The sequence below is a fragment of the Homo sapiens genome, chromosome 2 (assembly GCF_000001405.40).
Source record: "Homo sapiens chromosome 2, GRCh38.p14 Primary Assembly".
Lineage (NCBI taxonomy): Eukaryota > Metazoa > Chordata > Mammalia > Primates > Hominidae > Homo > Homo sapiens.
In genome coordinates, this window is record NC_000002.12 from 196,091,847 (window position 1) to 196,116,426 (window position 24,580).

A 24,580-nucleotide genomic window follows, 5' to 3' on the forward strand; every position below is an offset into this window, starting at 1 on the left:
ATCAACAGAATATACATTCTTTTCAGCATCACACCACACCTATTCCAAAATTGACCACATAGTTGGAAGTAAAGCACTCCTCAGCAAATGTAAAAGAACAGAAATTATAACAAACTATCTCTCAGACCACAGTGCAATCAAACTAGAACTCAGGATTAAGAAACTCACTCAAAACCACTCAACTACATGGAAACTCAACAACCTGCTCCTGAATGACTACTGGGTACATAACGAAATGAAGGCAGAAATAAAGATGTTCTTTGAAACAAACAAGAACAAAGACACAACATACCAGAATCTCTGGGACACATTCAAAGCAGTGTGTAGAGGGAAATTTATAGCACTAAATGCCCACAAGAGAAAGCAGGAAAGATCGAAAATTGACATCCTAACATCACAATTAAAAGAACTAGAGAAGCAAGAGCAAACACATTCAAAAGCTAGCAGAAGGCAAGAAATAACTAAGATCAGAGCAGAACTGAAGGAAATAGAGACACAAAAACCCTTCGAAAATCAATGAATCCAGGAGCTAGTTTTTTGAAAATATCAACAAAATTGATAGACCACTAGCAAGACTAATAAAGAAAAGAGAGAAGAATCAAATAGATGCAATAAAAAATGATAAAGGGGATATCACCACCGATCCCACAGAAATACAAACTACCATCAGAGAATACTATAAACACCTCTATGCAAATAAACTAGAAAATCTAGAAGAAATGGATAAATTCCTCGACACATACACCCTCCCAAGACTAAACCAGGAAGAAGTTGAATCTCTGAATAGGCCAATAACAGGCTCTGAAATTGAGACAATAATAGCTTACCAACCAATAAAAGTCCAGGACCAGACAGATTCACAGCTGAATTCTACCAGTGGTACAAAGACGAGCTGGTACCATTCCTTCTGAAACTATTTCAATCAATAGAAAAAGAGGGAATCCTCCCTAACTCATTTTATGAGGCCAGCATCATCCTGATACCAAAGCCTGGCAGAGACACAACAAAAAAAGAGAATTTTAGACCAATATCCCTGATGAACATCGATGCAAAAATCCTCAATAAAATACTGGCAAACCGAATCCAGCAGCACATCAAAAAGCTTATCCACCATGATCAAGTGGGCTTCATCCCTGGGATGCAAGTCTGGTTTAACATATGCAAATCAAAAAATGTAATCCATCATATAAACAGAATCAAAGACGAAAACCACATGATTATCTCGATAGATGCAGAAAAGGCCTACAACAAAATTCAACAGCACTTCATGCTAAAAACTCTCAATAAACTAGGTATTGATGGGACGTATCTCAAAATAATAAGACCTATTTATGACAAACCCACAGCCAATATCATACTGAATGGGCAAAAACTGGAAGCATTCCCTTTGAAAACTGGCACAGGACAGGGATGCCCTCTCTCACCACTCCTATTCAACATAGTGTTGGAAGTTCTGGCCAGGGCAATCAGGCAAGAGAAAGAAATAAAGGGTATTCAATTAGGAAAAGAGAAAGTCAAATTGTCCCTGTTTGCAGATGACATGATTGTATATCTAGAAAATCCCATCGTCTCGGCCCAAAATCTCCTTAAGCTGATAAGCAACTTCAGCAAAATCTCAGGATACAAAATCAATGTGCAAAAATCACAAGCATTCCTCTACACCAATAACAGACAAACAGAGAGCCAAATCATGGGTGAACTTCCATTCACAATTGCTTCAAAGAGAATAAAATACCTAGGAATCCAACTTACAAGGGATGTGAAGGACCTCTTTAAGGAGAACTACAAATCACTGCTCAACAAAATAAAAGAGGACACAAACAAATGCAAGAACATTCCATGCTCATGGATAGGAAGAAACAATATTGTGAAAATGGCCATACTGCCCAAGGTAATTTATAGATTCAATACCATCCCCATCAAGCTACTAATGACTTTCTTCACAGAATTGGAAAAAACTATTAAAGTTCATATGGAGCCAAAAAAGAGCCCACATTGCCAAGACAATCCTAAGCCAAAAGAACAAAGCTGGAGGCATCACACTACCTGACTTCAAACTATACTACAAGGCTACAGTAACCAAAACAGCATGGTACTGGTACCAAAACAGAGATATAGACCAATGGAACAGAGTAGAGGCCCTAGAAATAATACCACATCTCTACAACCATCTGATATTTGACAAACCTGACAGAAAACAAGAAATAGGGAAAGGATTCCCTATTTCATAAATGGTGCTGGGAAAACTGGCTAGCCATATGTAGAAAGCTGAAACTGGATCCCTTCCTTACATCTTATACAAAAATTAATTCAAGATGGATTAAAGACTTAAATGTTAGACGTAAAACCATAAAAACCCTAGAAGAAAACCTAGGCAATACCATTCAGGACAAAGGCATGGGCAAGGACTTCATAACTAAAACACCAAAAGCAATGGCAACAAAACCCAAACAAATGGGATCTAATTAAACTAAAGAGCTTCTGCACAGCAAAAGAAACTACCATCAGAGTGAACAGGCAACCTACAGAATGGGAGAAAATTTTTACAATCTACCTATCCGACAAAGGGCTAATATCCAGAATCTACAAAGAACTTAAACAAATTTACAAGAAAAAATCAACCCCATCAAAAAGTGGGCAAAGGGTATGAACAGACACTTTTCAAAAGAAGACATTTATGCAGCCAACAGACACATTAAAAAATGCTCATCATCACTGGCCATCAGAGAAATGCAAATCAAAACCACAATGAGATACCATCTCACACCAGTTAGAATGGTAATCATTAAAAAGTCAGGAAACAACAGGTGCTGGAGAGGATGTGGAGAAATAGGAACGCTTTTAACTGTTGGTGGGACTGTAAACTAGTTCAACCATTGTGGAAGACAGTGTGGCGATTCCTCAAGGATCTAGAACTAGAACTACCAATTGACCCAGCCATCCCATTGCTGGGCATATACCCAAAGGATTATAAATCATGCTACCATAAGGACACATGCACATTTATGTTTATTAAGACACTATTCACAATAGCAAAGATGTGGAACCAACCCAAATGTCCAACAATGATAGACTGGATTAAGAAAATGTGGCACATATACACCATGGAATACTATGCAGCCATAAAAAAGGATGAGTTCATGTCCTTTGTAGGGACATGGATGAAGCTGGAAACCATCATTCTCAGCAAACTATTGCAAGGACAGAAAACCAAACACTGCATGCTCTCACTCATAGGTGGGGATTGAAAAATGAGAACACGTGGACAAAGGAAGGGGAACATCACACACCGGGGCCTGTTGTGGGGTGGGGGAAGGGAGTAGGGATAGCATTCGGAGATATACCTAATGTAAATAACGAGTTAATGGGTGCAGCACACCAACATGGCACATATATACATATGTAACAAACCTGCATGTTGTACACATGTACCCTAGAACTTAAAGCATAATATAAAAGAAAAAGAATATTCAGCACCCCAAAGGTACAATCCACAAATTCTGGCATCCAATAAAAAATTATTAGCATGCAAATAAATAAATATTTGAATATCTTTATCATAGTGGTTCTAAAATCCTATCTACTAATTTCACCATCAGGGTTATTTCTTGTTCTATTTCTATAGGCAGGTTTATTTTCTCCTACTGAATATTTGGGATTGGCACACTTGGCAGTTAGCATAACCTCACATTGGGCTATCATAGTGTAGATGGCCAGGTGGAAGCGTCTAGAACTTTCCACATCCCCAGCCAAGAAGGATTATCAAAACCAGTATTACATCCTGGGTTAGGGAGACAGTATGGGGGCAGATGGCAGAAATTAATATCATTCATAAGTATCTAAGGGGAGGCCGGGCACGGTGGCTCACGCCTGTAATCCCAGCACTTTGGAAGGTTGAGGTGGGCAAATCACTTGAGGTCAGGTGTTCGAGACCAGCCTCGCCAACATGTGAAAACCTGTCTCTACTAAAAAATACAAAAGTTAGCTGGGTGTGATGGTGCGTGCCTTTAGTCCCAGCTACTCGGGAGGCTGAGGCACAAGAATCACTTGAACCCAGGAGGCGGCAGTGAGCCAGGACGGCACCACTGCACTCCAGCCTGACTCTGTCTCTGTCTCTCTCTCTCTCTATCTCACACACACACACACACACACACACACACACACTCACACACACACACACACACACACACAAAGTATCTAAAGGGAAAATACTTTTGTCAGGGCTCGCATTAAGAATTCCATTGAATTATAAGCTATGGCTTCTGCCTTGGTACTTGGGCAAAAATGAAATGTGTGAAGATTCAAAAGAGGGGCATAAATATAATTGCAGTTGGCATTGAGACATAAGAAAATATAAATAACTTTGTGTCCACATGTTTAAAAACCTAATGATATGAACAAATTCTTAGAAAACATAACTTACCAAAACAGACTCAAGAATAAATAGAACATCTGAATGCTCTTATAATCATTTTTGCTATTGAATCGGTTGTTTTTAAAAGTTTAACTGAATCTGCCTCCTTATGTATTTTAAGTTCAGCGTAAAGGTTTCTCTGTACATAGTAAACTGTAACCTAACTGGATGGGTAAACAAATTGTAACCTGCTCTTGTGTTCAACTGCCAAGCTGTAATCAATCTGGGTGTTTCTGTACCTCTCTTCCATTTTCTGTATATAACTTTCCTTTTACTGTCCGTAAATATTTTTCAACCAAACAGCAGCACCGGAGTCTCTCTGAACCTGTTCTGGTTCAGGGCTTTCTGATTTGTGAATTATTCTTTGCTGCATTAAATCCCATTAAATTTAATTTGTTTAAAGTTTTTCTTTTAACATGGTAATTAAGAGACTTCTCAAAAGTAAACTCCAGCTCAGAAAGTTCTATATATGAATTCAATGAAACATTCAAGGAACATACATATTCTTAAACTCTTTTTAAGACTAGAAAAAGAGAAAATATCCCAAACTAATTTAATAAGCCCAATTGAACCTTGCTAACAAAATTAGACAATGACAATATCAACAAGGAAAACTATAGGCCATTTTTACTATGTGAAAATCCAAAACAAGGTATTAGTATACCAAATCAAATAGTATATAAAATATAAGCAGTTAAAGAATGAAAGAACCGTTTAAGATTTTTAAAAATATATGAATATAATTTACCCTTTTATTACTGCATAATAAAAAACTTATTTGCCTTTGTCTCAGATTACTAGCACAGAGCTCCTAAAACCCTTGGATTTTCCTGAGGGACAGAGTGTCTTTTGTTATTCATAACGAGCTTGTTTCCATCATACCTGAGTTCATGCTGAGGTGACTCAAGGCAGGGCCCCTAGATAGCTTCAGGATGGGAGCTTATCATCAGAAAGACAAAGCTTGGGATCTGAGCGTTACAACTTTCAGCCTTACACACTCACCCACTCAGCCGCCCCACTTTTGGGGAGGAGAGGGAGGCTGGAGATTGTTGAATCGCCACTGGCCAATGATTTAGTCAATCATGTGTATGTAATGAAACCTTGATTAAACACTTTGAACAAGAGGCTCTGGAAGCCTCCAGGTGGGGGAACACATCAATGTGCTGGGATGATGGTGCACACAGAGCACATGTAAGCTCTGTGTCTTCCCTGGCCCCACCTACACACACTCAATACCTGGCCCTACTCCTGTCTTCCATTTGGCTGTTTCTGAATTGTATTCTTTATAATAAAACCATAATCATAATTATAAAGCTTTCCTAAGCTCTGTGAGTCATTCTAGTGACTTATTAAACCTGAGCGGAGGTCATAGGGAACCCCAAATGGATAGCTGGTCAGTCAGAAGTATGCATAACCTCCAGGTCTTACCACCAGTGTCTGAAATGAGGGTGGTCTTGGGGGACTGAGCCCTTAACCTGTGGAATCTGCACTCATTCTGGGTTGTGTCAGAACTGAACTACATTATAGGACACCCAGTTGCTGTCAGAGAATCAAGGAATTATTGGAAAGACACTTCACTGGTTAACAAATTAAAAAAGAAAAATTACGTGATCATCACAAAAAGTACAATAAGAAAACAGGTGGCAGATCCTTTAGGGCTGACCTTGCCAATCAGCTTGCCCAGATCCCGTATCTATGTACATAGTGTACCACAACCTTTGGTTACAAGTGAACCAAGTCCGTGAAGGGCTTCTGAAAGCCAGAGCCCCTAAGCTAACTTCTCTAACTTCAAGCTGACTCATCCATTTTTTTCTACTATCGTGTATGATTATTATACTTTTCTACATGTGCTGTCATGTGACAGTTACAGGTTTATAAAAGTAGATGAGCTTTTTATTTCTACTATCGTGTATGATTATTATAATTTTCTACACATGCTGTCATATGAAAGTTACAGGTTTTTAAAAGTAGATGAGCTTCGCTCAGAGAGGTAACTCTTTTGTCCTGTTGTTCTACCCTCTAATAATTGCTATGTAAGATCTATTGGTTTCATTTGACTAGAGCTTATCTATTTAAAACTTTTTAAACCTGTAATTACTAGGAATTTCTCTTTTCTTCTCTCCATGTCCCAAATTAATGTGACACAAGAATCATGGGTAAAAGTACCCCAAACTTACCTTGATTGGGCTGAATCAAGGCAAAGATTGAGGAAGTGGAGTATTAGCATGTCTATTTGACCACTTACATAGTCATACCCTGCAATATAATTGTTCTCAGTAATCAAACTGATATTTTTGTCTCCATTGGTTTGAGTGCTACAGAACCTAAGAGGGAAAGAACTATTTTACTTATTAATCTTTTAATATGCCAATACATATAATTTTTAAAATAAGGGATTATTCTGACTTAAAATAAATAGATGAGACAAAAAGAAATGCAGGTTCCCCAATAATTTGCAAACTATTCACCTATTGCAAATATTTCCATAAATAGCCCCCTCTTCTGCTCTTGTTCTCTCTAATTTATGACTGGAAAATCTCCTTGAAAACTCTTTCATTTACCAACTCCAAGCTAAGCCTCCTGCCCTCCTCTCTTCTGCCTTATACTGACCTGTGACCAGTGTCAGATGGGCCTCTTAGAGCAAACCTTTCTGCTCTTCCTTCACCCTCTCCACTGTCTTCACACACTGTCCATGTGGAATCTTTCTTTCTTAAAGGGCATAGATAATGACTGTGCCCCATGAACTGAAGTCATGGTTGGTGAGTTTTCAGCCTCCATTTTTTTCAGTTTTTCAATTGCTGTTGGCCAGGAGCCCCTTCCAAAAATCAACACATCATGCCTCTATTCTGGAATAAGCATCTTCCAGGTAACCCTCAAATGGATCATATTTTGAGAATTGCAGGCTCACTTCAGTTAGCACGGCATTAGCAAGCTATTCTCTTTCTATCTTCTTCAGAGGTGTTTATTCAGTGGCTCCTGTCTGTGAAGGGTGTCTTCAATCTGCAGTCTGAAGGAAAGAATCTCCACCAGCCATATTTTTGCCAATGCTTGTCCCATTGTTTCTTCCTTGCCACTCCTCCAAAACACACACATACATTCTATACCTCTACTAGCACCCACTATAATCACTGTTTCTACATTCACAGATGCAAAATGCCTTTATGTTCAGAGATGGTTAACATTTTCTTTTTGTCACAAAATCTGTAGGTTGCTTTTTGGATTTTTAGTAATAATCTTACATAGAATACACTTACATAGGACATGGTTCCTAGCCAAAGACATCCAAAAGGTTTGCTCAAAAACATGTCTTGTTGGGTCAGCCTTTATTAAATCCTCCCCAGGAGCCGATATTTTGGGAACAAAATATTACTGGTAAAGAGAAGCATGTGAAGTTTCCAAAAGCAAAAGTGTCTGTAACCAATGAACAGATAAAATTTCAAGGCCTATACAGTAAAGCAGCTGTTAGATGATTTACTGGAAAATTCCTCCAAAACATAATAGAGGCTGCCCACTACAAAGGAAATATTTTTCCTTCAAGTGCATAATATTCAAGTTCAATATGTTATGTACTCAAATTACCTCTCTATTAAAATCTGGGGTTTTCACGATAACCTCCACCATGGGGACTTGATTCTCATTCCATCCCAATGAAAAGCCAGGACAGCACTGGTTGGTGTGAGATTCATGAGGTGAGTTCCAAACTCCAGAGACTCATTCCTTTTGTGCAGCTTCCAGTATCAATAACACAGGATAGGACTTCATTTCCCAGGCATATAAGTGACTCACACTAAACTAGACAAATTCGATAACCTCTCACTTTCATTTAGAGAAATGATCATAAAGCTGCCAGTGGGGCACCATGTGATTTTCAAGGCGGGCAGCACAATTGCAAAACAATACTTGCAGGAATCATAGAGGAAGAGAACAATTGTTTCCAGCACCTCCCTTATCTCACTATATGGACAGACAGTGCATAGAGGGACATTCTCAGATGCCACAGCACTTGAGTGTTTTGGTAAAGTCCTGATGGAGACCAGGGAAAGCGGCAAGAGAGTGAGGTGTGCAGCACACAGCACAGTCACTGCTCCACAGCACCAGAGATCTGGAGGCACACGTGGAACCAAATGGGCCAAAAAAAAAAAAAAAAAAAAAAAAGGAATTCATAGTCCTCAGGCCAAGAATTCTCCATTTAACCTCATTCTTGACTCTGCCAACCCACGCGATCATTTATTAGGAGTTAACAGAAACCTTTAGGGAGAGATTTGTTAAGGGTTACAGAATCAGAGCAAGGGAGGAGGAATACGTTTCTAGTGTTCTATACCACTGTAGGACTACTACAGTTAACAATATGTAGTTTCAAATAGCTAGAAGGAAGGATATTGAATGTTCCCAACACAAAGAAATGATAAATGTTTGAGATAATGGATATGCTAATTACCCTGATCTAATCATCATACATTATATGTATCAAAACATCCTTACATACCCCATGAATATGTACAATTATTATGTGTAAATTAAGAAAGAAAGAAATCTCTTGGACTCCATGTAATGTATTTACGCACAGAACACATTCTGGCTCAAACTAGGAGGTGGAGGTCTCCAACTGTACAAAGGGCACTATTGCACTTACTAGGGGTAAGGATTAGAGCTTTCGATCTACACAGGAAAAGTAGAAATGGCAGTCAAGAGCCACAGTGATGCAAGCTGAAGTCAAACCAAGAGGTGTTCCCTGCCACTTGTCTCTTATTTTGAACATGCCAACTAATTGCAGCCCACCCATCCATCCTTCCTTGTGCCAGAGGTGAGGGCTAAGCCATTGCTGCAGAAGTCCTCTTCAGCAGATAGCTGTTTATCTGGTCCTTGATTAATGGTAAGGGGGCTGCTCCTAGCTTTGTTTGGATGTTCAGACAGCAAGAGAGGACACTTGGTTTCAATATGTATATCTATTTGATTCAACCTCCAGCTAAACAATCCTGTTTTCCCTAAGAAATGAACATGGAAATGGTCAAATGTCCACAGGAACATTGGTACAGGAGGAGTATGTTCAATAATCACAAGATATGAGTCAGATGTTCAGAGTGTGATTTTGATATGAACCTTTATTGTGGGAGAGGGAGGGAGGGTTGAGCTATCTGAGAATCAGTTCTGGCTCAGTCCCTTGAGCCTGCTTGGGTGCGAAGGTTTCAGTTCTGTGTCAGTGACTCAGCTCTACTCTGTTCAGGGAAGATAAATTAGGTGCCACGTGCTTTACTCTTAGTGAAATAGGTTATTTTGGGGGAAATATGTGGAAAGTTACTTTTTAAGAAATTCCAGTGAATATGAAGGGCTCCTATCTGAAAAGATGCACATTTGGCTTGTTGTGAGAATTTTTTCCTTCCTTATGAAAAACATCTTGTCTTCAAATTTGTCTGGAACTGTTTACTACATTGCCCTTTTGAGTTGCACCAATAAGAAGGGAGTCAAACACCATTTCCAATAATACTCTGCTCAGTCATAGTGACAGTATGCCCCTGCCTCCCACGCTGCCACACCAGTCCCAGCCGAGGAGCACCTGTGAAGTCTGTTCTGCATCACAGCAGTAAGCAGTCACAGGGCCTATTAGTTATGCACAGCAGGAGAGACCTTGGGGTCAGTGTTAGAGTTATGTTTTTCATACGCATGCAAGACAGCTTACATTCTGCACTCTGGTGGCGTGCAGATGTCCTGGAGAGTAAGGCTCCTTTGGTTCCCTCACTTTTCCTTTTGCTAATAGACCCCAGGCTTTGTTCAGGGATCAGGCAACAATATGCTCATGGTAGTTAGGCTCAGTCTCAGAGAGGAGTCATGGATCATCCATTCCCCTTTGCCTGTGAATGGCGTAGGGATCATGCCAAAAAAAGAAACACTGCTTAGGGGTTTGGAAAAAGTATTTTCTTCCTAGTAAAAGAAATCTTGGTATGACTGAGCTGCTAAATCAATCCACCCTGCAACCCTAATTTTGGACTTCTTGTTTGGAGAGATAATAAATTCTTTATTGTTTAAACCCCATTGGATATAGTGAAAATTTCACCAAAAAGCATCCTAACTGGTCCTCACGGGTAGGAACCTGAATTTATTTCAACTTCTGGAAGACTGTTATGAGCCACAGACTGTCAACTCCTATACAAGCTGAGAAAATAAGCATTCATGGTAAACTGGGGTTATTGAGGAAATTGCAGTTGAATTTGCTCACCTGTAAAATGGGAATATCAGTAGTAACAATTTCAAAGTCTCATCCTGATGATTAATTTAACCCAGGCAAAGCTCTTAAAGCAGTGCCTGGCACATAGAAAAGACACAATTTAATTATCAAGTGTTGTTATAGAGATGAGGAGGCAAGAAGGATTGATCACTTGGGGCTAAATTAGGGATACCAACTAGGAACAAAGATACTCACTTGCAAAGAGAAAGATGATGGCAGACACTCTGGCATGGCTGGCTAGTAGTAAAGTAATATAGAGGAGATCATAATTACAGTTTACCAAGCCCTCTTCATCATGTTCATTCCCTTTGCATGAACACAATTTCCTCAATACCTACAGTTTACCATTAATGCTTATTTTTTCAACGTATATAGGAGTTGATAGTTTGTGGCTTATAATACTCTTCCAGAAATCGAAAGTAAATTCAGGTTCCTACCCCTGAAGACCAGTTAGGATGATTTTTGGTGCAATTTTCACTATATCAAATGGAGTTTAAACAATAAGGAATTTATCATCTCTCTATACAAGAAGTCCAAAATTAGGGTTGCAGGGTGGATTGATTTAGCAGCTCAGTCATATCAAGCTTTCTTTTATTAGGAAGAAAAGCCTTTTTCCGAAGCCCCATGTACTCCCGCTAACTACATGGGTGAGCTGGCTGTGACTGCAGCTCTCATCCAGAATTTGTCTCTAGGGTTGGTTTAGTTCACCTGGTGTGATAGACTGAATAATGAATGACCACTGTCCCCAAAGATGTCAATGTCCTAATCCTTGGAACCTATGAAAATGTTAATTTAGTTCAATGATAAAAGGGACTTAGCACATGTTATTACATTAGGGATCGTGAGATCGAGAGATTATCCTGAATTATCCAGGAGAGCCCAAGATCCTTATAAAAAGGAGGAAAGTCAATACTAGGAGATGTGATGATGGAAGCCACAGACTGGAGTGATGTGAGGAAGGGGCCACAAGCTAAGGAATATAGGCAGTCTCTAGAATCTGAAAAAGGCAAGGAAACAGATTCCCCCCTAAGCATCCAGAAGGAACACAGCCCTGCCTACAGATTGACTATAAACTTCTGACCCCTGAACTGTCAAGGAATACATCTGCATTGTTTTAGGCCACTAAGTTTGTGGTAATTTGTTACACCTGCAACAGGAAATTAATATACCTGACTAACCAGCTGAGACATGATCCCTAATTCCCTTTGTTAGTTTGTATGTTTCTGCTGCAAGTAACAGAAGCCTGAACTCAAAATAGTTTCTGCAGTTAAGGGATCTATTGTCTCACATATTAAAAACAGAGTAACAGAGTCAGGATGTTACAAGTTGGTTCATTCAACAGCTCAATGACATCATCAAAGATCCAGGGTTTTTTTTCCCCAAATCCTTGCTTTGTTTTTTTTCAGCACAAAGGTTTATCTTTTTGGGTTGACCCACTCATGGTCAAATGTGGTTGCTGCAGTTACACTCATGGTCAAAAGTGGTTACTGCAGTTCTAAGCACTATATCTTTACACGTTAACGTCTAAAAGTTGGAAGAGAAAACCTCGTCTTTCCTGTGTCATTTTCAAAGTACCAGGAATATTTCCCAAGAAGTCTCCCGGTAGGCTTTGCTTCTCACAGCATTAGCAAGAATGGAGTCATTCAGCCATTTCTAAACCAGTCGCTGAGAGAGGCATAGAATCAAGATCCACCTCCTGGGACAACTGAAGGGCTGGCCTCTTTTGAAGGTTGTGGTGGCCTAGTTCATGGCTTGTGTTAGTGAGTAAGAAGAGGGGAGAAGGATGGCACAGTTAGCAAATAGCAATGTCTGTTATACACCCTCTTCAAGGTTCCTTGTGAGCGGTCAACCTTACCAGACAGAACAATCTTCCAAGGTAGACGAGGGCTGTCTTTTAGGCAAGGAGTTCAAGTGTCTATAATTCTCACTCTTTTTGCTTAGGATCTTCTGACTAATGAAACACATTCATTTAGTTTATATTTTTATTTGCATAGGGTAAGCCCTAAATAAATGTTTACCAAATTCAGGGTCAATATTTGTGCCTCCAGTGATATTATTGTATTATTGTTTGATTCTCAACCATGTGGGCTGATATTTACAGTCTATTGGAGATTTCAGGAGGCATAGATACATAAAAGTAAAAGTACTAACTTTCACATAACATTTTCTTTGTGCCTGTCATACTTTACATAATTCTTTTAACCTTAGCTATAGGAAGTGGTACTGTTTTTAATTCCCATTTTATAGATAAAGAAATCTAGGCACAGAGAGGAAAACCATTGCTAATCCACAAATTCCTAAAGCAAAACAATTTTCTTCACAGCAGTATGTTGTTTTAATTATGGCTATATTTAAATGGATGAAATGTCTAGAAAGAAAATATTGGTAATTTATCTGGACGACTCCAAATACATATTTGATATGGTACCAGGAAAAGAGCAATTAGAGAGCCACCCCTTGCCACTGCTTAACCTTTCCCAAAGGGGTGGCTCTCTAATTATATTTTTAAGAAAGTAATAAAAATTTAGGAAATACATGTCTGATACATGATATAAACTGCAGGGAGATTTTATCCAAAAAATTCTTTTAGGTGTAAAATTAAACAAAATAAGCAGCATTCAAACCTAAATGAAGGGCTGACAAAAACAAAATGAAAAGTAATGTGTATGTGGGAAAGAAACCAACAGAAAAATATAAACTTTATAAATTGTGGCATAAAACTCATCAACTAGAGGGAAAATGTGAGATTTCAAGTAGTTGACTTAGAATCAAAATCCTTTGGCTTTCCCTAGTTGGAGACCAACATTTTTAATGGTTTTTATATGTTTGTATAACTATGTTGACTATTCTCTACACTAACCTCTTCTTTCAAAAGTATGTATGGAATATTGTGCTATAACCATTCCAGACTTAGAAGCCTAGACTCTGTTTTGGCTAGTGGGCTTTCCCAATCACTGTTTATCCATTTTACTGCTATTGGTTTTAGGTATAATAGAGCCAAATGTTTTCATCAATCATTTCATAAAGATAGGGATAGTAATAAACTTCATGTTAAATTTACTGATTCCCTCTAGGAGAGATAATTATGCCTGAAAATGCTGGTATCATTATGTTGGTTGGCACTGTAAGGGAAATTGAGATGGTTTTAAATAATCTACTGAACAGTAGGAATTTCTATACTGAGTAAATAAAGATTTGTTTTAAAAAATTCCCCTCATCTGAGTCCTGTTAGAACTAGACTATGTGATACAAAGTAAACCAAGGAATGCCTTCAGGAACACAAAATCCTGAAACACACAAAGGGAAATAAAAGGCTAATTTATGGTAAAATACAAAGCATAAAACACAAAAGTTCCTAAAGCAAAACAATTTTCATCATAGCAGTACATTGTTTCAATTACAGCTACATTTAAACATATGAAATGTCTAGAAAGAAAATATTGGTAATTTATCTGGATGACTCCAGATAAATATTTGATATGGTACCAGGAAAAGAGCAATGATCCAGATTTTCTTCTTTTCAGAACTTGACTCTAAAACTGTTCTTGTTATAACTTTAAGGAGTTGGTTAAAATAGTTCACTGATAATTACGAATGTACTTCCTCTTTGCATTTAGTTTCCCCGGCTGATTTATTCTTGCCAAGCAGTTCTGAACACATGATTTCCTCTGAATCTCTAGATTTTAAATTGACATTTCTATGGCATGCTGAATCATTGCGGGTCGAGTTTTAATTAGTCTCAGGCCTTTGGAAACCAATTCGGCAGAATACACAAGAGTCCTACAATGTTTGGGTATCTGACCCAATAGTTCTGATTATGGAAGTCACTTTCAGGAAATAAGACAAAATTCAGAAAATATATTTATGTTAAATAATGTTTGTCCATATGGTAATTATACTAGCCAAGATAAGAAATAATCTAAACGGCCAGTAATGGCAAGATGGTTAAGCAAATTATGATATAACCACTGAATGAGATGTTATTGTCTGCAACAGTTACAATAAAATGAGAAAATTCTTAAATATGACAAGTGCAGGGACATGTAGATGGCAGAATGCAAAATTGCATTTGGCATTTGATCTTACTTCAGCCACATAAAACAACAGGGTTGAATTTTAGTATCTCAATAACATATCAAAACTGCCTGTTGATAGCTCGGAAAAAAGCTAAGCTAAATATATTATTTAGGCACATATACACGTACATGTGTGTTTGCAAGTGTCCATGTGTGCATGATGAAACTAAAAGAAAGGAATGAAAAGCACAAAATTTGGGATAACAGTCACCTCTGGCAAGAAGGCACAGGTCAGGAGGCACCAGGGAAAACAAGTACAGGAGACATAAACATTTAACTTTTGGGCAGGGCAGAGGGTCTTTATTAATCATTATGTCATTTCATGATGAATAAACAGAATGAAGAGTGGCCATACATGGACCAGTGATTATTATGTGCCATAAAACAAGAATTCTGATTCATTCCATTTTCACCATTATTAAAATAGGAGATTATGAGTGACTTTTTTCGCTTTATACATAAATTTCTACAATTTCGAAATTTCTTTTTTTTTTTTTTTTTGACAGAGTCTCGGTCTTTCCTCCAGGCTGGAGTGCAGTGGCGCCATCTCAGCTCACTGCAACCTCCGCCTCCCGGGTTCAGGCAATTCTTTTGCCTCAGCCTCCCGAGTAGCTGGGACTACAGGTGGCACGCTGCCACCCCCGGCTAATTTTTTGTATTTTTAGTAGAGACGGGGTTTCACCGTGTTGCCCAGGCTGGTCGCGAACTCCTGAGCTCAGGCAATCCACCCGCCTCGGCCTTCCAAAATGCTGGGATTATCAGGCGTGAGCCACCGGGCCCAGCCAATTTCTAAATTTCTATAGTTAGCATTATACTTTTAAAATGTAAAAACAACAAACTGGTCTAGAAAGCTTGCAGATTAAAAATAAATTCAATAGATATGTTATACCTGCGTCTGGATGAGCTAAACTTACCCAATTAAGGCGAGGCAATTGAACAGAAAGCTAGAGGTTAATTAAGACTAAACTGCAAACAGTTGGTGGTTATATTATCTAGGCCTGATTTTATTTTTTTAGTCCTGATGATTTAGTCTTCTCTGAGTATCTGACCAAACTGGGCCTTAAGGTAACAAACTCAAAGTATTATATTTTCTTATAATAATCATAACAGCTAACATTACTTTAATAATTCATTAATTTTACTATGTGACAGGTACTGTGCTAACACTTTTCATCCATGGTCAGATTTAATGCTCACACTAAACATATGATAGTTATTAATATTATCCATATTTCACAGATGAGAAAACTGAGGCACAAAGATAGGTGCCTTGCCCAAAGATCACACCACCAGTAAATAAGGGAGCTCAATATCAGAGCTTAATATGGATCAACCCTCCTGCTGAGGAAATAAAAAAAAACTTTGTCCAATATTCATCTCAACAAATACTCATTTACCAAAGTGGAAGTGTAACAAGCCTAAGAGAGGATCCTAGGATTCAGCTCTTAGAACCCTGTGTGAGGTAGATTTAGGGCATAGGCTTTCAGGGTATGGGTCAGGAGACAAAAATTGGAGAAGTACAGATCCTATTAGTCCGTTCTCACGCTGCTATAAAGAACTGCCCAAGACTGGGTAATTTATAAGGAAAAAAGGTTTAATTGACTCACAGTTCCGCATGGCTGGGGAGGCCTCAGGAAATTTACAATCATGGCGGAAGGCACCTCTTTACAGGGTTGCAGGAGAGAGAATGAGTGCCAGCAGTGGAAATGCCAGATGCTTATAAAACCATCAGATCTCGTGAGAACTCAGTCACTGTCACGAGAACAGCATGGGGGAAACCAGCCCCATGATTCAATTACTTCCTGCTGGGTCCCTCCCATGACACGTGGGGATTATGGGAACTCTAGATGAGATTTGGCTGGGGACACAGCTGAACCATATCACTAGGATATAATGTATCCCAAGGATATATTGGCAGAATAATATAGTGCTTTGAGCATGGGATCAAGGGCTATAACTGCTTAGGTTTATATACTGGCCTCACCATCTTTTAGCTCTGTGACCTAGGAAAGATACTGGAGTTCTCCGTGTTTCAGTTCCTGTAACTGTGAAGTTGGGATAACAGTAGTACCTACCTCACAGAGTAATTGTGTGTATTCAATGAGTTAATCTATGGCAAGCACTTAGAACAATGCTTGGCATACAGCACGTACTAAATGTTAACTGTTATAATTTTAGCATACATTTTCACAGTTCTTAATCTTTATTCTCTTTCTCTCTCACCACCTCTCTCACCATCCTCACCTCAGTTCCCCACCTCATTGTACAGTCATAGTTTGCTCTGAATTATTTGGGAAATGAAACAAGGTGTAAATATAGAATGGAAGACAACCTTTATAATATTATAAATTCACTTTCATGATATGGAGTAGACTCAAAAATGCAGAAACAGGTATTTTTTGTATTTAAAACACCATAATTTTCTTTCTATGAATAGCATATTTGCATTCAAGTCTTAGCTCCATCATTAACTATATAATCTTGAGAAAGTCTCCACTCAGCCTCAGTCTTCTCACTTGACAGATAGAGGTGACAATGCCAGGATTGCCTCCTGAATGCTTTATTCTGGAGTGCTTCGGCAAGTTTCTTCTTTCATTCCATGATCCACATTTACATTTAGTGAGTACTTGCTTTGTGCCAGACTCGTGCTGGAGGCCTGACATGCAAAGTCTCTGTTACTTTGAGTAATTCATGCTGGAGGAACATGCAGTCCTAGACTGGTGTGTGTGTGTGTGTGTGTGTGTGTGTGTGTGTGTGCACGCATGCACACATGAATGCATGTGCAGGGGTGATGAGGCAGGGTATGGGATACGGATATTCCAATTGCAAATAACAATTTTCAAATTCTGGAAAATACATGAACCACAAAGAGGGGACTAATAGCTGGATTTATCTTGGCCATTCAGGAACAGGCTCCTTTCATTTTGAATGAAACATATACATGTTTCCGTGGGGTTTTCTTTTCACCTATAATTGCCCACACATGAAATATTTGTTTTGCATTTGTGTTGGATCTTTTACGATTCAACAGATCTTTAACCCAGCCTCTCAGGACAGAACATTTGTTATTGTTTGGCAGAAATTTTCTCACTGTTCATGTTCAATTATTCAGTTAGATAGAAAATAATGATATTACTACACTTTCATGCTTATCCCTTGACATTTTCCATAAATAGAAACTTTGTTCATTGGCTAAAATCCTGTTTAATACTATCAAATGTCAAAGGCAGGATTTAGTATACTAGTCTCGTTGGAGAAAAGAATGTAGGTCTCTAATTCAATTACAAATGAAACTGAATTTGATAGCCCCAGACTACCTGCCAATAATATTTCTGTAGCCACAAATAGCCTCTCAACTCAGCATTTTAGTTTTTGGTCAGGTCAGAAAAAGTTCTACTTTGGGTCATGTTAGTCATTAGTTTGCACATTTCTTCAAATGTTCATTTAGTACCCACCATGTGCATATCCATTCAGCAGAAAAGGCCACCAAGCTAACCAAGGCCATACCTAGATGGTGTCAACATTAAGCTACCCTACAAACCCCAAAGGCTATGGTTTTGGCATCTAAATAAAGGAAAAAGACTCCAGAAAAAAGTCTAAACTTTTTTTTTTTAATCTATCATCAGGATATTTGGTATTGCTTAAACTGAGCCAAAAATATTATATAATCTTGCTTCTCAAAATGTAATTCAAGAAGAAATACAAATGACTAATAAACCATAAAAAGATGCCTGGTCTCACAGTGATAAAAGAAATGAAAAATAAAACAAGACAAAATACTATTTTATCCTATTAAATTGGTAATGACTTGAAAATTGATAATATCCAATGTTAACAAGGGTGGACAAACAGGCACTCTTACTTAGCCAATGGGCCTTAGTATGGCATGATTTTTCCACTATAGATAGATCAGAAAGCTGAAAAAAAAAATAGTATGTTTTTTTTTCCAGAAGGAAAAAATCCTAATATGTATCCTTTGACCTTGAAATTCTACTTTTAAGGAATTATCTTAAGAAAATAATCATAAATGTACACAAATGTTTGCCTTCAAGGATAATTGCTGCACTGTTTTCAACAATTACTTTAAAAAATGAAACATCCAACATAGGGAATTGGTTAAATAAAGGATACTATACCCATAGAATGTAATGTATATAATCATTAAAAATAATGTTATGTTAGAATATTCTGTGACAAGAATATATTTGTTTTTTTCTTTTTCTCATTTATTTATTTATTTATTTATTTATTTATTTATTTATGAGACAGAATTTCACTTTGTCACCCAGGCTGGAGAGAAGTGGCACAAACTTGGCACACTGCAACCTCCGCTCCCAGGGTTCAAGCCATTCTCCTGCCTCAGCCTCCTGAGTAACTGGGACTACTGGCCTGTGCCACCATGCCAGGCTAATTTTTGTATTTTTAGTAGAGACAGGGTTTCACCATGTTGGCCGGGCTGTTCTCGAACTCCTGACCTCCAGTGATCCACCCGCCTTGGCCTCCCAAAGTGCTGGAATTATAGTCGTGAGCCACTGCGCCTGGCCATATTTATGATATGTTAAGTAAAAGAAAGAGATGAACCAACATGTTAGCAGTGATTATCACTAAATATATGAATCTAAGTTGATTTTTTTTTTTTTTTGAGACGGAGTCTTGCTCTGTTGCCCAGGCTGGAGTGCAGTGGCGTGATCTCTGTTCACTGCAAGCTCTGCCTCCCGGGTTCACACCATTCTCCTGCCTCAGCTTCCCAAGTAGCTGGGACTACAGGCGCCCACCACCACGCCTGACTAATTTTTTGTATTTTTAGTAGAGATAGGGTTTCACCGTGTTAGCCAGGATGGCCTCGATCTCCTGACCTCGTGATCCGCCCACCTCGGCCTCCCAAAGTGCTGGGATTACAGGCGTGAGCCACCGCGCCTGGCTCTAAGTTGATTTTTTAAATTTTTTTTCATTTTTTGTTTTTCTGTATTTTATGTGGTAAATGCATTTACCACTTTAATAAAAATACTTATAAGATATAATGTAATACTTTTAAGAAAAATATTTATGAAATATAATGCTTTTTAAACTCCTATAAACTTCTAAATGCTATTAAAGCAAACAGATGTTGGCATTCACCTTGCAATCCCTGTTAGAATAACTTTGTTAAAATATATATTCTGCTAGTTTTGTCAATTAAACTCCAAATAATATAGAATGTAATATTTGTTGAAAACACTGTAAACACATAGGATTCTAGTGCCCCTTGTTAAACATTTTGTATAATATATGAAGTGGTTATGCACTGTTTTAATGGACAGCTGAGATTTGCAAACTTGCACTCCTGTCCATGGGAAGCATAAGGAAATAATATGAACTATTGACAGATGTAGGTACTTTTGTGGTTGAATATAAAATAACAGAGGTAGAAAGCAAACCCTCTTTGCTATCCAGGGTGGCCTGCATTAAATTCCTGCCTCTGTCCTTCGCTGACTGTTGTATAGACTGAATTTTGTCTCTTCACATATATTCATGTGTTGAAGCCCCCAGGGTGATGATATTTGGAGGTGGGGTCTTGGTAATTATATCATGAAGGTAGAACCCTCATGAATGGGATCAGTGCCCTTGTAAGAAGAGACAGGAAAGAGATGAGCTCTCTCTTCACCATATGAGGATACAAGGAGGTGTCTGTTTGACAGTCAGGAGCTGAATCGGCCAGCACTTGAATCTTGAACATTCAGCCTACACAACTGTGAGAAATAAATTTATATTGTTTAAGCCACTCAGTTAACGGTATTTTGTAAGAACAATCTGAACTAAGACAGCTATGTTACCTTGGCTGACTCATTTAACTCCAGTAAAACAGAGATAATGATATTTACCTCTGCCCGTTGTTTTAGATTTAAATGAGAACTGGAGTAACAAGGGTAGAATTTACCTTGTACCTGGCAAGTAAGTACTCAATAAGCTTTAGCTATTGTTAGCATCAATAAGTTCATCACGTGACTCATGCATTTGAAACCTGCTCATTCCTATGTGGCTGATGTCAAATAGCAAGATTAGTCAACAACCTCCCACATTCCTCAATGTTCCCCAGGGAATAAAAAGTGCAAGAAATTGAATTTGAATTTGCAAATGCCCTTGCGTTCCTACTTTATTTTCCTCTGTGTGTGTGTGTGTGTGTGTGTGTGTGTGTGTGTTTGCCTTAAGGAATTTTTTTTAAAAAAAGTGGAGTAGAAGAAAACAGGAGCTGTACACCATAGTTAATATTGCAAAGCCTTGGAGAGTAATATATTCACTGCTTTGTGACCCAGAGGCCAGCAGGGGTTACGCTTCAGGGTATTCACTTTGATTTGCATAATTCTTTTTCCTCCTTTAAAGTTATTTATTTATTTATTTATTTATTTATTTATTATTGTAAAATCTTTTAAGTCCCTGGATGGGTGAAAATCTGAACAAATTGGTAAACATTCTTGAAGTCCAGCAAAGAGTCGTCTCAATACAAGGAAATGTCCTAAATTATTCAGTGCACTGGGGATAGGGAACAATGACCATTTAATGTGGTGAAATAATTAACCTGCTAAAACAATGAGCACTCACAGGAAAAATGCAGAAAAAGTTTACTTAAAAGAGGAAAACATTAGTGAGTTCTCTGTCACCTTCCAGTAGAATCAATAATTGAAAACTCTAGCTCCATGTCCAAAAGTAAAACCTCTCAGCCCGGTACAAGGCAGGGGAAAAAAAGTTGTTTACTTCCTGAAACACACAAAAGCTCATTTTTCAGATCTTAAAAAGAGATAATTTAGAAAAGGGATAACCACAAACAACACTTTCTACTGAGAACAAAAACCAAAGCAAAAAAAAAAAATATTTATGGACATTCCCAAGAAACCGCTATGGCAAATCTCACTGGAACTTTAATTCATGTGGAGGCTTTGAAACATCAGCACACAGCAGGAAATGAAAGGGCACTTGAGAAGCAAAGGACAACTGCAGTTTTCCCTCTATCCATACCTCTAGAAATTGCAAAGAACGTCCTTATTTTTAGTAAAATTACTATCACATTTACAAGCAGCAGTTCTGGACGCATGTCCTCAGCTCTGTGCCAGTATCACTGTGTCACTGTGGCTCCAGATCCACCAGAACATTTTGTTTTTCAAAAGCAGTTTCGCCTGAAAATACATTCACATGGAGAGTAAGGAATGAGAGCTGTAGTGAATAATGAGAACTCGGGGTCTGAGAACAACAGAAATCTGCAAGAGGTCTCAATGAGTATGTTATGAAGAAAAGTTCTTTTTTAGCTCCCGGTGAATTCCTCAGCAATTAGTGGTTTCTCTTGAAATGATAGCAGTTGCAAGAACTGAGGCCAGAGAGCCATTGCTTGGCTACATCATGGGAATATCCTTGGCCTCTGAGCAAAACAAGCTGCATAGACTTATTGTGGCATGAAATATGTTTTTCAAAGCTGTACGGGCCTCTTTTTAATAATATATGAAGCAAGCAGACAGATAATCAAAGTAAACAAAGAAAATTTGTCCTTAATTAGGATTCTATAGATATTGCAAAGTCGATAGGTGCATTCATACTATAAGGTGTTGTTTCCAAGCAAGGAAATGTGTCTCAGTGTGCCAAACTACCCTCCAAGAAGTCACTTAAACATCTGGACAAATAATATCCAAGATAAATGGTCGTGGGATGTTGCAAGTAAAAATCACTCTAATTTTTGGGGATTACTCAAAAAAGATATAACAGAAAGCCCTGAAATACCACGTACTTCTAAAACCATCGTATTTCCTTAAAGACAATCTATTATTTTTATTTTGCAATTTTTTTGCTATTGCTAAGACAGATTTGCCACCCTCTCCCATCAAATGCCTGATTATAAAAGAAATGCATGTTCATCAGAGACAACTGGAAAGAATAAAAAAAAAAGTCACCTATCATTCCACTGCCCAGGTGCTGACATGATTAACATACTGGCTTATTTTCCTATTTTTTATTTTTATTTTACTTTAAGTTCTGGGATACACATGCAGAACATGCAGGTTTGTTTCACAGGTATACATGTGCCATGGTGGTTTGCTACACCTATCAACCTATCATCTAGGTTTTAAGCCCCAAATGCATTAGGTATTTGTCCTAATGCTCTCCCTCCCCTTGCTCCCTACCCCCCGACAGGCCCCAGTGTGTGATGTTCCCCTCCCTGTATCCATGTGTCCCATTTTTCAACTCCCACTTATGAGTGAGAACATGCGGTGTTTGATTTTCTGTTCCTGTGTTAGTTTTCTGAGAATGATGGTTTCCAGCTTCATCCATGTCCCTGCAAAGGACTAAACTCATTCTTTTTTTATGGCTGTGGATACTGGCATTTTTGTTTCTTGATATTTTTCTACATACTTTTAAAAACTTAGCTGAGATCATACGGCATAAGTGAGGTTTTTTCTCTTCATGTATCAGAAATTCTCAGAAGTCATGAAGAACATAGTTGCCATTTTGAAGACATAATCATGCTTCATTACCCAAATACGCCATAATGGGCTTAACTGTTTTCTCTCTTTTGTATATCTGTACACTCTTGGAATGTTTTATTATTGCAATTAATGAAAAACCATCCCTGTCAAAATATGAAAGAATTTTACCTTTATTTATTTGTGTGACTATGTGTACATCTCAATTTTGAGTGCCGACATCAGACATTCTGATTTATCTAATATTTGTTTTCTTTGATGTAGTCCCTCAAAAATTAAGAGGAGTATACAAAGTATGCTCTTAATGTATACAAAGTATCCTCTTAATGTATCTAGAGCATAAAAAGAACACCTACAATTCAATCATAAAAATACAGGCCAGGTACAGTGGCTCGCACCTATAATCTCAGTTGTTTGGGAGGCTGAGGCACGAGGATCACTTGAGCCCAGGAGTTCAAGACTGGCCTAGGCAACATAGTGAGACCCTATCTCTACAAAAAATAAAAAAAGTATCCGACTATGGTGGCACACACCTGTAGTCCCAGCTACTTGGGAGGTTGAAGTGGGAGGACTGCTTGAGCCCAGGAGGTTAAGGCTGCAGTGATCTGTGATTGTGCCACTGTACTCCACAGCCTGGGTGACAGAGTGAGACCCTGCCTCAAAATAAATAAATAATTAAGAACAAATTTTTTTCTAAAAAAAAAGACAAATCATTCCATTTTAAAGTAGGCAAACTAGGCCAGGTGCCATGGCTCACGCGTGTAATCTCAGCACTTTGGGAGGCTGAGGTGGGGGGATCACTTGAGCCCAGGAGTTTGAGACCAGCCTTGGCAACATAGTGAGAACTTGTCTCTACAAAAACTAAAATTAAAAAAAAAATAGCCAGGCATGGTGGTATGCATCTGCAGTCCCAACTACTTGGGAGGCTGAGGTGGGAAGATTGTTTGAGCCCAGATGTTCAGGGCTGCAGTGAGCTATGACCGTGCCACTGCACTTCAGCCTGGGAAACAGAGCAAGACCCTGTTTCAAAAAAAAGAAAAGAAAAGAAAAGAAAAAAGCTGTCTTTACAAGACAGTTTTCAGACATTACAAATAGAGAATTATAGAAGACTCGTTTTATACCAATTTCTGCTCCACATATAGTAAATTGTGTGTGAATATAGACAATCTGCATAACACCTATTTGTGTAGTACAAACGGCACACCAGGAAACATTGCAGTGAATTGTTCATGTTTCTCTCTTCTATTTAACAAATACTACAGTCTGTTAATGCAGCAAATATTGCAATTTAGAGTATTCTCTTTTAACTTTAATTGACTTCATGAATGATGAATTTTTAATTATTTAATATTTATTTATTTTTAATTTTAACTTTTCTTTTTTTTGAGACAGGGTTTCACCTTTTTGCCCAGGCTGGAGT

General features: G+C 38.2%; 5 annotated features.

Annotated features, from left to right (window-relative positions):
- Positions 5,090 to 5,678: an enhancer, noted in NCBI's record as "OCT4-NANOG hESC enhancer chr2:196961660-196962248 (GRCh37/hg19 assembly coordinates)". NCBI's record gives its function as "activates a minimal SCP1, AML or CMV promoter by ChIP-STARR-seq in naive H9 embryonic stem cells {active_cell/tissue: H9 hESC(naive)}" and the evidence as "EXISTENCE:reporter gene assay evidence [ECO:0000049][PMID:30033119]".
- Positions 9,117 to 9,206: an enhancer, noted in NCBI's record as "active region_16893". NCBI's record gives its function as "activates an Ori minimal core promoter by ATAC-STARR-seq in GM12878 lymphoblastoid cells {active_cell/tissue: GM12878}" and the evidence as "EXISTENCE:reporter gene assay evidence [ECO:0000049][PMID:35858748]".
- Positions 9,227 to 9,376: an enhancer, noted in NCBI's record as "active region_16894". NCBI's record gives its function as "activates an Ori minimal core promoter by ATAC-STARR-seq in GM12878 lymphoblastoid cells {active_cell/tissue: GM12878}" and the evidence as "EXISTENCE:reporter gene assay evidence [ECO:0000049][PMID:35858748]".
- Positions 9,647 to 9,746: an enhancer, noted in NCBI's record as "active region_16895". NCBI's record gives its function as "activates an Ori minimal core promoter by ATAC-STARR-seq in GM12878 lymphoblastoid cells {active_cell/tissue: GM12878}" and the evidence as "EXISTENCE:reporter gene assay evidence [ECO:0000049][PMID:35858748]".
- Positions 21,324 to 21,852: an enhancer, noted in NCBI's record as "OCT4-NANOG-H3K27ac hESC enhancer chr2:196977894-196978422 (GRCh37/hg19 assembly coordinates)". NCBI's record gives its function as "activates a minimal SCP1, AML or CMV promoter by ChIP-STARR-seq in naive H9 embryonic stem cells {active_cell/tissue: H9 hESC(naive)}" and the evidence as "EXISTENCE:reporter gene assay evidence [ECO:0000049][PMID:30033119]".